Source organism: Homo sapiens, chromosome 19, assembly GCF_000001405.40.
Source record: "Homo sapiens chromosome 19, GRCh38.p14 Primary Assembly".
Lineage (NCBI taxonomy): Eukaryota > Metazoa > Chordata > Mammalia > Primates > Hominidae > Homo > Homo sapiens.
The window spans coordinates 7,651,850-7,663,973 of NC_000019.10; the positions used below are offsets into that span (position 1 = coordinate 7,651,850).

The 12,124-nt window shown below is 49.4% G+C and overlaps 1 annotated feature.

The window, feature by feature from the left end:
- Nucleotides 6,303-6,422: an enhancer, noted in NCBI's record as "active region_13891". NCBI's record gives its function as "activates an Ori minimal core promoter by ATAC-STARR-seq in GM12878 lymphoblastoid cells {active_cell/tissue: GM12878}" and the evidence as "EXISTENCE:reporter gene assay evidence [ECO:0000049][PMID:35858748]".

Below are 12,124 nucleotides of genomic sequence, written 5' to 3' on the forward strand. Positions count from 1 at the left end.
TGGGACTACAGGTGCGTGCCACCACGCCCAGCTAATTTTTGTATTTTTAGTAGAGACGGGGTTTCACCATGTTGGCCGGGATGGTCTCGAACTCCTGACGCCGTGATCCACCTGCCTTGGCCTCCCAAAGTGCTGGGATTACAGGAGTGAGCCACCGCGCCCGGCCAATACTCGTTTTAATAAAAATTTTAAAATGTATTCACGCCTAACTGGGTAGTTACTTGATACAATAAATGATCTTTTCTAGATTAAGAAAAAAGAAAAAAAAACATTTAAACTCAATTTCCTGGGAAGCCGCAGTTTTGCGCCGGGAGTGGCTTGTGTAGGCACGCGCTGCGAACGCCAGGGGGCGCTGCGGCGCAATTTCCCGGTTTCTTTGATCTTCCGCGTCTGTAACTGGAGATGAGGTGACCCGAATTAGACACGACGGGGAAGTAGGTCAGGGGTTATTCCGTGGTTCTCAGCGGAGACAAAAGTCTGTTGCTTAAACCGCCTCTGCCTCTGCTCCTTACTTATACCCAGGTGATGCAATGTCTTCACACTAAAGGCAAATATTGAGTCTACAAATATTTATGTGTCCCTGTGGGCGGCGGCAGCTGACAATATCGGGTCCTAACGAGCACGAAGTCAAGCTCCCTCTGCACGCTTTATGCAGATCCTCAAAACCCTCCTGTGAGGATCGCTGGAGCCTAGGAGTTCGAGGCTGCAGTGAGCTATGATTGTGCCTCTGCCCTCCAGCCTGGGTGAGAAAGCGAGAAGTTGTGTTAAAAACAAAAAAAAAGTTGGGGGGCCGGGCGCGGTGGCTCACGTCTGTAATCCCAGCACTTTGGGAGGCCGAGGCGGGCGGATCACGAGGTCAGGAGTTCAAGACCAGTCTAGCCAACATGGTGAAACCCTGTCTCTACTAAAAATACAAAAATTAGCCGGGCGTGGTGGTGGGCGCCTGTAATCCCAGCTACTCGGGAGGCTGAGGCAGGAGAATCGCTTGAAACCGGAAGGCAGAGGTTGCAGTGAGCCATCATGCCACTGCACTCCAGCCTGGGCAACAAGAGCGAAACCCTGTCTCAAAAAAAAAAAAAAAATTATCCTTTGAGATCCCTTCCCCCAAGTCCATTTCCCATCTCATGGTGAACCTGGCTGCTGTTCTTCAAACACACCACACTGTCCCTGCCCCAGAACCTTTGCACCTGCTATTCCCATCATCCGCAATGCTGTGCCTTGCAAGCTATTGTACTCCTTCCTCCTTCCCTTCCCCAGCTGGGAGAGGCCCCTGCTTTACTTCCTTGTGGTATCCCCACTTAGGGTGCTTTCTTTCTGGTTCTCTTCTGGTACCGAGGAATGATCCTCATTCTGGATTTGGCAGGTTGCTTCCTCTCTCCCCATCCCTGCCCCAATGTTTACCCTATAAATGGCTTAGAACCACATGCTCTATTGGAATAAGGGTCAGTTGCAGCCAGAATAATATCATGCTGGTAGGGCCGGGTACTTCCTGGTACATCACATCAGGGGGTCCATAACGTCATGTCACTACGATTGATGGGTGGGTTTGGGGAATGTCCCTGGTCCCCAGTAACTCTCCACATAAAGATGTTAACAGGAGCTGGGCCCAGTGGCTCACGCCTGTAGTTCCCAGCACTTTGGGAGGCCAAGGCAGGAGGATCACTTAGGCCCAGGAGTTTGAGACCAGCCTGGGCAACATAGCAAAACCCTGTCTCTACTAAAAATAAAATAAAGACCGGGCACGGTGGCTCATACCTGTAATCCCAGCACTTTGGGAGGCTGAGATGGGCGGATCACTTGAGGTCAGGAGTTCAAGACCAGCCTGGCCAACATGATGAAACCCCGTCTCTACCAAAAAACCAAAAATTAACCAGGCGTGGTGGTGCACACCTGTTATCCCAGCTACTCAGGAAGCTGAGGTAGGAGAATAACTTGAATCCAGGAGGCGGAGGTTGCAGTGAGCTGAGATCATGCCATTGCACTCCAGCCTGGGTGACAGAGTAAGACTCTGTCTCAAAAAATAAATAAATAAAATACAACAAAATAAAATAATTAGCCAGATGTGGCAGCAATTGCTTGTAGTCCCAGCTACATGGGAGGCTGAGGTGGGAAGATCACTTGAGTCCAAGAGGTTGAGGCTGCACTGAGTTATGATCTCGGCACTGCACTCCAGTTTGGGCGATAGAGTGAGACCCTGTCTCATAAAAAATAAAAATAAAAAAGGAAAGAAAAGAAAAAAAGTCATTAGCAGCCATCAATTTTGTTGTTGTTATTGTTTGTTTGTTTGTTTTTGAGATAGAGTTTCGCTCTTGTTGCCCAGGCTGGAGTGCAGTGATGCAATCTTGGCTCACTGCAATCTCCACCTCCAGGGTTCAATCAATTCTCCTGCCTCAGCCTCCCAAGAAGCTGGGACTACAAGCATGAGCCACCATGCCAGGCTAATTTTTGTATTTTTAGTAGAGACGGGGTCTCACCATGGTGGCCAAGCTGGTCTTGAACTCCTGACCTCAAATGATTCACCTGCCTCATCCTCCTAAAGTGCTGGGATTACAGGCATCAGCCACCGTGCCTGGCCCGCCATCCATTTTTGATTCATTACTCTCTTGAGGATTATGTCCAACTTTATCATTCCTGCTACTGGAATTAGCTGTGGTTCTTCTGAAAAAGGCTTTCTGCTTCCCTCCGGAACTAGCTGGTTTGTACAGAAAGTGACAACGTGATACATTGACTTATGTATTATTTGTGGAATGCCTTGAGGCAAGCGGTTACATGAGCTCAGCAGAAGAGCCTGGAATGGGCACAGCCCTGAGGGTCACGTGTGGCTCCCTTGGAAGCATCTAGGGAGCACCCAGGAACGATTGGCTGCCATAGTAATTACTATCTAATTTATTAGATATAGTAAAAATAAATTTATTACTAATTATCACTAACGATTCTGATTACTGGGTGAGAACAATGGTGATCTCATGTATTTATGTGCATTACAGGGTGAGAGTTCTCCTTCCTGTGGCGTGCAGGAGATTCTAGAATAGAAACTCATTGAAAGAGTGAGAGGAAAACATTTGTGATCTTGAACCTGTTCCGCTTAAAAATACATGAGGGAGGCCGAGTGCGGTGGCTCACGCCTGTAATCCCAGCACTTTGGGAGGCCGAGTTGGGTGGATCACCTGAGGTCAGGAATTCGAGACCAGCCTGGCCAACACGGTGAAACCTCGTCACTACTAAAAATACAAAAATTAGCCAGGCATGGTGGCGGGCACCTGTAATCCCAGCTACTCGGGAGGCTGAGGCAGGAGAATCACTTGAACCCAGGGAGTGGAGGTTGCAGTGGGCCGAGATCATGCCACTGCACTCCAGCCTGGGTGGTACAGCAAGACTCTGTCTCAAAATAAGTAAATAGATAAATCGATTAATAAAAAATACATGAGAGGACGGGTGCAGTGGCTCATGCTGGTAATCCCAGCACTCTGGGAGGCCGAGGTGAAAGGATCATCTAAAGCTGGGAGTTTGAGACCAGCCTGGGCAATATAGCAAGACCCCTGCCTCTACAAAAAATGTAGCTGCACCTGGTGGCACACACCCAGCTACTTGGGAGGCTGAGGCAGGAAGATCACTTGAGTCTGGGAGGTGGAGGCTACAGTGAGCTGTGATTGCACCACTGCACTCCAGCCTGGGTGACAGAGCAAGACCTCATCTCCAAAAAAAACACAAATAACAAAAACGTGAGGGTCCAGAGAAATTAAAGCTGCGGGCTGGGCCAGCAGCAGTGGTGGTGGGATGGTGAAGCCAGCGACCCTAGCAGAGAAATCGGGGACAAAGGAATCAGTGCTGGAGACCTGCAGAGGAGGCGTCCTGGACCCAGACAGGAAAAGGAGGTGATGTAACTCAACGAAGCAAGGAAATCTCGTGGAAATGAGTAAGGTGACAAAGAGAGGCCACCCAGGGGGAGACCCAGACATTGAGGGTAGCTTCCCTTTTATTTTCTGTAAAGTTGCTCAAAAACCTTAAAACACAGTTGACCAACAGCTGCTGCCAAGAACATTGTGAAAAGGTTTCTGGGTAAGGAAATGGCCCTGCGAATGGGAAGGTTCCGCTCTGGTGGGATCAGAGATGAGGTGTCCAGGGCTGGGATAGGCAGGCCAGGATAGCAAAGCCCTGGCAGACAGAGGCTCCATTTTGGGTGTCCTTCATTCCCTTCTTTTTTTTTTGAGGCGGAGTCTCGCCCTGTTACCTAGGCTGGAGTGCAGTGGCGCGATCTCGGCTCGCTGCAGCCTCTGCCTCCCGGGTTCAAGTGATTCTCCTGCCTCAGCCTCCCAAGCAGCTGGCATTACAGGCATGTGCCACCACGCCCGGCTAATTTTTGTATTTTTAGCAGAGACAGGCTTTTTCCATGTTGCCTAGGCAAATCTCGAACTCCTAATCAAGCAGTCCACCCGCCCTCAGCCTCCTTCATTCACTTCTGAGATGATTCAGTTTCTGTCTCTGTTGGCAGCTGGGAAAGTTCTGAAAAAAGAATGAAGAGCAGTCCAGGCGTGGTGGCTCGCAACTGTAATCCCAGCACTTTGGGAGGCTGAGGTGGGCAGATCACCTGAGCTTGGGAGTTGGAGACCAGCCTGACCAAAAAGGTGAAACCTCACCTCTACTAAAAATACAAAAATTAGCTGGAAATGGTGGTGGATGTCTGTAATCCCAGCTACTCAGGAGGCTGAGGCAGGAGAATCGCTTGAGCCTGGGAGGCAGAGGTTGCAGTGAGCTGAGATTGTCCCACTGCCCTGCAGCTTGGGTGACAGAGTGAGACTCTGTCTCAAAAAAAAAAAAAAGAAAAAGAAAAAGTAAAGACAATGGCATCAGACAAATTCTGGCTCTGAAATCTAGGCTAGCTGGCCTGGTGACTTTTTTTTTTTTTTTTTCATAGAGATGGGGTCTTGCTATGTTGCCCAGGCCGGGTTTTGAATTTTTGGCCTCAAGCCATCCTCCTGCCTCAGCTTCCCAAAGTGCTGGGAATATAGGTGCCCCACTTTTTTTTTTTTTTTTTGAGACAGAGTCTCATTCTGTCACCCAGGCTGGAGTGCAGTGGCGCAATCTTGGCTCACTGCAAACTCCACCTCCCAGATTCAAGCGATTCTCCCACCTCAGCCTCCCGAGTAGCTGGGATTACAGGTGCCCACCATCACACCCAGCTAAGTTTTGTACTTTTGGTAGAGACAGGGTTTCACCATATTGGCCAGGTTGGCCTCGAACTCCTGACGCCAGATGATCTGCCCGCCTCGGCCTCCCAAAGTGCTAGGATTACAGACATAAGCCACCGTGCCCTGCCCTTTTTTTTTTTTTTTTAAGAGTCTCTGTCTGTCACTTAGGCTGGAGTGCAGTGGTGCAATCATAGCTCACTGCAGCCACAAACTCCCGGGCTGAAGCAATAGATCCTCCCCCTTCGGCCTCCTAAGTAGTGGCTGGGATTACACGGGCATGCCACCACACCCAGCTAATTTTTAAAAAGTTTTTGTAAAGACGGGGGTTTTCCTGTGTTGCCCAGGCTGAACTCAAACTCTTGAGCTCAACGGATCCTCCTGCCTTGGTCTCCCAAGGAGCTGGGATTATAGGCGTGAGCCACTGTGCCTGGCCCTGGTGACCTTTTGACAGTAGCCCCGCCTTCCCCAGCGTGGGTTTTGCCCTCTGTAATGTTGCGTAGGGCTGTTGCGATCACAGAAGGTGGTGGAGTGTGAGTACTTCTGGGGTACTTGCCGGAGGCTGGGGATTTGTGGAGGTGTGTGGCTCAGTTTTATTCCAGGAAACCGTGGCCAGACGGGCCTGTCAGCACCTTCCCTTTCATCTACAGTTCCTCAATTGGGGGGGTGTGAGTTGTTTCATAAGCCCCTCCCCCTCATTTCTTGCAGGAAAGTGGTAATGCAAAGAAACTTTTATTTTATCCACATCTATATTCTTTGTAACCTTTTAAAATAAGATACTTGGCCTGGCGCCTGTAACCCCAGCATTTTGGCAGGCTGAGGCAGGCAGATCACTTGAGTTCAGGAGTTCAAGACCAGCCTGGCCAACAGGGTGAAACCCCACCTCTACTAAAAATACAAAAATAAGCTGGGCACGGTGGCGCACGCCTGTAATCCCAGCACTTTTGGAGGCCAAGGCGGGCAGATCACCTGAGTTCGAGAGTTTGACACCAGCCTGACCAACGTGGAGAAACCCCCGTCTCTAATAAAAATACAAAGTTAGCCGGGCGTGGTGGCGCACGCCTGTGATCCCAGCTACTCGGGAGGCTGAGGCATGAGAATTGCTTGCACTCGGGAGGTGGAGGTTGCAGTGAGCCGAGAGGGTTAGGGTTAGGGTTCAGGAGGAAGGAAAAACCTAGGGTGTTTAGCCCCGGAAATCTCTCTTTTGATGTTCACTGCCTCGAGGTTCTTGCTACCTCTTGCTCCAAGTCACAGCCTGGCCCCAGCAGGTCATGCCAGAGCCCCCAGCCTGTCCTCTGCCAAGCGGTGGTCCTGGCAGCTGCTTAGACTCCCACTCCGAAGCTGGATCATCTGTAGATGGGAAGTGTTTGCATAAATGGGGCCAAGGAGTGCTCTCCAGCTCTTTGGTAAAGAAGCCTGACAGCCGCCAAGGCTTTTACTTTTATTTTCCATCCTTCACCCGGGAGGGGAAGCAAGTATCACTGTGTTCTGATTTGGCAGAGCCACCTGTCATTGCAACTTGTCACCAGGGCAACAAGTCACCATCTTAGTAAGGCAGCCAATGAGAAGCATGGGTTTCCTCTGGTGGTCGGTTTCACAGAACGGCAACAGTTTCTAGGCATCCGAGTGATACCAGAACTCTTTGTTCAAATAAGGCTTCAAGGACAGATGTATAGTGACAGAGAGGAGAACAAGCTGGTAGCAATTATGAATTTTCACAAGGAAAACTAGTTGTGGGGAGCAGAAAAATCCTCTCTGTGGCTTCAGGAACAAAGAGGCCATTTCCCTTGGGTCTTTAGGAAACCCCTTTTTTCCAACTATAATTTATTTTATTATTATTTTTTGAGATGGAGTTTCGCTCTTGTTGCCCAGGTTGGAGCACAATGGTGCGATCTCGGCTCACTGCAACCTCTGCCTCCCGGGTTCAAGCGATTCTCCTGTCTTAGCCTCCCGATTAGCTGGGATTACAGGCGTCTGCCACAATGTCCGGCTGATTTTTGTATTTTTAGTTGAGACAGGGTTTCAGCATGTTGGCCAGGCTGGTCTGGAACTCCTGACCTCAGGTGAACTTCCCCCCTCGGCCTCCCAAAGTGCTGGGTTACAGGCGTGAGCCACCGTGCCCAGCCCAGCGATAATTTAAATTACAAGTATTTGGCCCGGCATTAGTGGTGCATGCCTGTAATCTCTGCACTTTGGGAGGTCAAAGACCAAGGATCCTGGCAACATATGAGACCCTGTCTCTACAAAGAAGAATCAATTTTTTCAATTAACTGTGGGTGGTGGTGGGTGCCTGTAGTCCTAGCTACTCAGGAGGCTGAGGCAGGAGGATCGCTTGAGCCCAGGAGTTGGAGGATGCAGTGAGCTCTGATGGCACCACTGCACCCCGGCGTGGGAGATCGAGACAGAGTGAGACGCCATCTCTAAAAAATAATAATAAATAAATAAATACGTATTTGGTGGTGATGGTTACAAGATCGTGTGCAGAATTTTAGTGTATATAAATGCCACCTTAATAAAAACTGATTTTTAGAAAATAATTCTTGGGAAAACCAAAACGTGCAGCAGGCAGGTAGACACATTTGTCAAAATGCATCAAACTCAGTAACAGCAGACCAAAGACTGCCTGTTCTCACTTATAAGTGGGATCTAAACTTCAGGTACTCATGGACATAAAGGTGGCAATAATGAACAGTGGGGATTGCCAGGGAGGGGTGAGGAAAAGGGGCATGAGGGTTGAAAATCTAACTGTTGAGTGCTGTGCTCACCATCTGGGTGACAGAGTCGCTCATACCCCAAACCTCAGCATCATGCAATATACTCAGGTAGGAGACTGGCACAGGTATCCCCTGAATCTAAAATAAAAGTTGATAAAGAGGGTCCCGGGCGCGGCGGCTCACAACTGTAATCCCAGCACTTTGGGAGGCCAAGGCGGGCAGGTCGCTTTGAGGCCAGGAGTTCGAGACCAGCCTGGGCAACATGGTGAAACCCCGTCTCCACTAAAAATACAAAAATTAGATGGGCGTGGTGGCGGGCACCTGTAATCCCAGCTACTTGGGAGGCTGATGCAGGAGAATCGCTTGAACCCGGGAGGCGGAGGTTGCAGTGAGCTGAGGTCGCACCGCTGCACTCCAGTTTGGGCAACAGAGCGAGACTCCGTCTCAAAAAAATGAAAAAATAAATAAAAGTTGATAAAGAGGGCTGGCCATGGTGGCTTATGCCTGTAATTCCAGCACTTTGGGAGGCCAAGGCAGGCAGATCACTTGAGGCCAGGAGTTTGAGACCAGCCTGGGCAACATGGTGAAACCCCATCTCTATGAAAAATACAAAAATTAGTTGGGCGTGGTGGTGTGTGCCTGTGGTCCCAGCACTTTGGGAGGCCGAAGTGGGTGGATCACTTGAGGTCAAGAGTTCGAGACCAACCTGGCCAACATGGAGAAACCCTGTCTCTACTAAAAATACAAAAATTAGCTGGGTGTAGTGGCGCGTGCCTGTGGTCCCACCTACTCAGGAGGCTGAGGCAGGAGAATTGCTTGAACCCGAGAGGCGAAGGTTGCAGTGAGCCGAGATTGTGCCACTGCACGCCAACCTGGGCAACAGAGTGAGACCCTGTCTCAAAAAAAAAAAAAAATTTAAAAAGTTGAAAAAGAAAAACAATGCATGAAACCAAACACATAAGATAGGCACATTCTACTGTATGTAAATTACACATCAACAAAATGGATTTTTCAAAAATCACTGTTTCTGGGATTTTATTAGATAGCATTTGGTACAAAATTGAGGTCAGTAGAGCTCAGTTTTACTGGTAGAAATCAGAGGAAGTTAAAGGATTTTATGTTTTAGAAGAGAATTAAGGGGCATATTGCCTTTTCCTGCTACTGAACCAAGAGTTTTCAAACTGGGTCCCTAGGGAACCCTAGAGGTTCCATGCCTACCCTGCTTTCTCCTCAATCTGTCATCACAGCTGCCCACTCCTTTTGTGTCGTTCAAAAGGTTTTACCCGAAGAGTTCTGAGAACAAAGGGTTTGAAAATCAGAGCTCTCAAAAAATGATTTTTCTTTTTCTTCTTTTTTTTTGAGACGGGATCTTGCTTTGTTGTCCAGGCTGGAGTGCAGTGATGCCATCATAGCTCATTGCAGTCTCAGCCTTCCTGGGCTCAAGTGATCCTCACACCCCAGCCTCCTCAGTAGCTGGGACTACCAGCATGGACCACCACACCCAGCTAATTTTTTTCCATTGATTGATTGATTGATTGATTGAGACCAAGGCTCACTCTGTCGCCCAGGCTGGAGTGCAGTGGTGCAATCTCAGCTCACTGCAACCTCCACCTCCTGGGTTCAAGTGATTTTCCTGCCTCAGCCTCCCGAGTAGCTGGGATTACAGGTGCCCGCCACCACGCCCATCTAATTTTTGTATTTTTAGTAGAGACGGGGTTTCGCCATGTTGGCCAGGCTGGTCTCGAACTCCTGACCTCAGGTGATCTGCCCACCTTGGCCTCCCAAAGTGCTGGGATTACAGGCGTGAACCACTGCGCCCGGCTTTTTCCCTTTTATCTTTGTAGAGATGGGGTCTTGTTATGTTGTCCAGGCTGGTCTCAAGCTCCTGGCCTCAAGCGATCCTCCTGCCTCAGCCTCCCAAAGCACAAGGATGACAGGCGTGAGCCACTGCACCTGGCAATAACATGGTTTCTGTCTCTTTTCAAGCTACCCTTTGTCCAGGGTGTGTCAAAGAGTAGCTCAAGAAGAGACAGAAGTCATGTCTTCAAGGAGGCAGGATGAGCTGGGACTTGAGCATGGGGAAATATCTGGACAAAAACGGACTTGAAAGTTCCTGCTAGGACCAGAAGAGACAGGGAGCCTGTGGAATTCACTTTTCCCCTCTAGATCCCCTGTCCCACAAATTTGCTTTCAGTTCCTCTAAATACACACACTCCATTCTGCCTCAGGTCCTTGGAACATGCAGTCCTCTCCCTCCACCCAGAAGGCCCTCCCTAACTGCCTCTCCTGGTTAACCCTTCTGCATCCTCCACCCTCCCTTCAAACATCTTTTCCTCCCCCCAAAATACTTTCTGGATTCCCCCATGTGGGGTTGATTTTTAGGTCAGAGGTTCTCACGGAAAAGGGTTCCTCTCCTTGGGAGATGGAAGGGTCCTTGAGGCTGATGGCTGATTGAGCATTCTATTGGTGTTTTTTGTTGTTGTTTTTTTGTTTTCTTTTTTTTAGAGATGGGGTCTTGCTCTGTTGTCCAGGCTGGAGTGCAGTGGTGCGATCATAGCTCACTGCAGTCTCCAACTCCTGGACTCAAGCGGTACTTCTGTCTCAGCCTCCTGAGTAGCTGGGACTACAGGAAGCCACCACCATCCCTGCCTAATGTTTTCTTACGTTTTGTACAGAGGGAGGGTCTCACTGTGTTGGCCAGGCTGGTCTTGAACTCCTGGGCTCAAGTGATCCACCCACCTCGGTCTCCTAAAGCACTGGGATTACAGGTGTGAGCCATGGCGCCCGGACTTTTTTTTTTTTTTTTGAGATGGAGTTTTGCTTTTTGTTGCCCAGGCTGGAAAGCAATGGCACAACCTTGGCTCACCACAACCTCCGCCTCCCGGGTTCAAGCAATTCTCCTGCCTCAGCCTCCCGAGTAACTAGGATTACAGCTACCCACCTGGTGTGCCACCACGCCTGGCTAATTTTGTGTTTTTAGTAGAAAAGGGGTTTCTCCATGTTGGTCACGCTGGTCTCGAACTCCCGACCTCAGGTGATCCACCCGCCTCGGCCTCCCAAAAGGCTGGGATTACAAGCATGAGCCACCGCGCCTGGCCCATTGCCCGGCCTTTTTATTGCTGTTCTGTTGGTGTCTGCCTTTCCCTGACTGACAAGGGCCAACTCGTCCCGGGCAAGGGCAGCATCCCTCTGCTTCTTAGTGTATGCATGGTGTTTAACACAGCATATGGAACATAATAGTTGCTCAATAAATATTGCCTGCGCTTTGAACCTGTGTGCACCGTTGCATTTACACAGGGCTTTAATACACATGCATCATGTTGATTGAAATATAAATACATAGAGAAAATTGTGCAAATGAGAGTTACAGCTGAAAACTTTTACAAAATTCCCCCCTCACTAGGGGCCTTCCTGGTATGCTTTTATCACCACTATCTCTGATTCCCCAGGACTCTTCCATCGTCATTTCCGACAGCATAAATTAGTTTTGTTTGTATTTCATTTATTATTATTATCATTATTGTGAGACGGAGTCTCTCTCTGTTGCCCAGGCTGGAGTGCAGTAGCATGATTTCAGCTCACTGCAACCTCCACCTCTTGGTTCAAGCGATTCTCCTCCCTCAGCATCCCGAGTAGCTGGGATTACAGGCACCTGCCGCTACACCTGGCTAATTTTTGTATTTTTAGGTATTTTTTTTTTTTTTTGAGACGGAGTCTTGCTCTGTCGCCCAGGCTGGAGTGCAGTGGCGCCATCTCGGCTCACTGCAAGCTCCGCCTCCCGGGTTCACACCGTTCTCCTGCCTCAGCCTCCCGAGGAGCTGGGACTGCAGGTGCCTGCCACCACGCCCGGCTAATTTTTTTGGATTTTTAGTAGAGATGGGGTTTCACCGTGTTAGCCAGGATGGTCTTGATCTCCTGACCTTGTGATCCGCCTGCCTTGGCCTCCCAAAGTGCTGGGATTACAGGCAGGAGCCACCGCGCCCGGCCCCCTTTTTTTTTAATAAATGGATTTGTATGGTATGTTCTTTTTGGGGTCTGGCTTCTATGCTAACATATGTTCGTGAGAATCAGCCACATGGTTGGGTGTAGCTGTAATCCATGGACAGTTGTCTCATTCTCACTCATCACCACATACCAGGGGTACAAAAAAATGTTTTCTGTAACGAGTCAGATAGTAAACATTCTCAGCTTTGGGGGCCCTACTGTCCAACCACTCTACAGCTG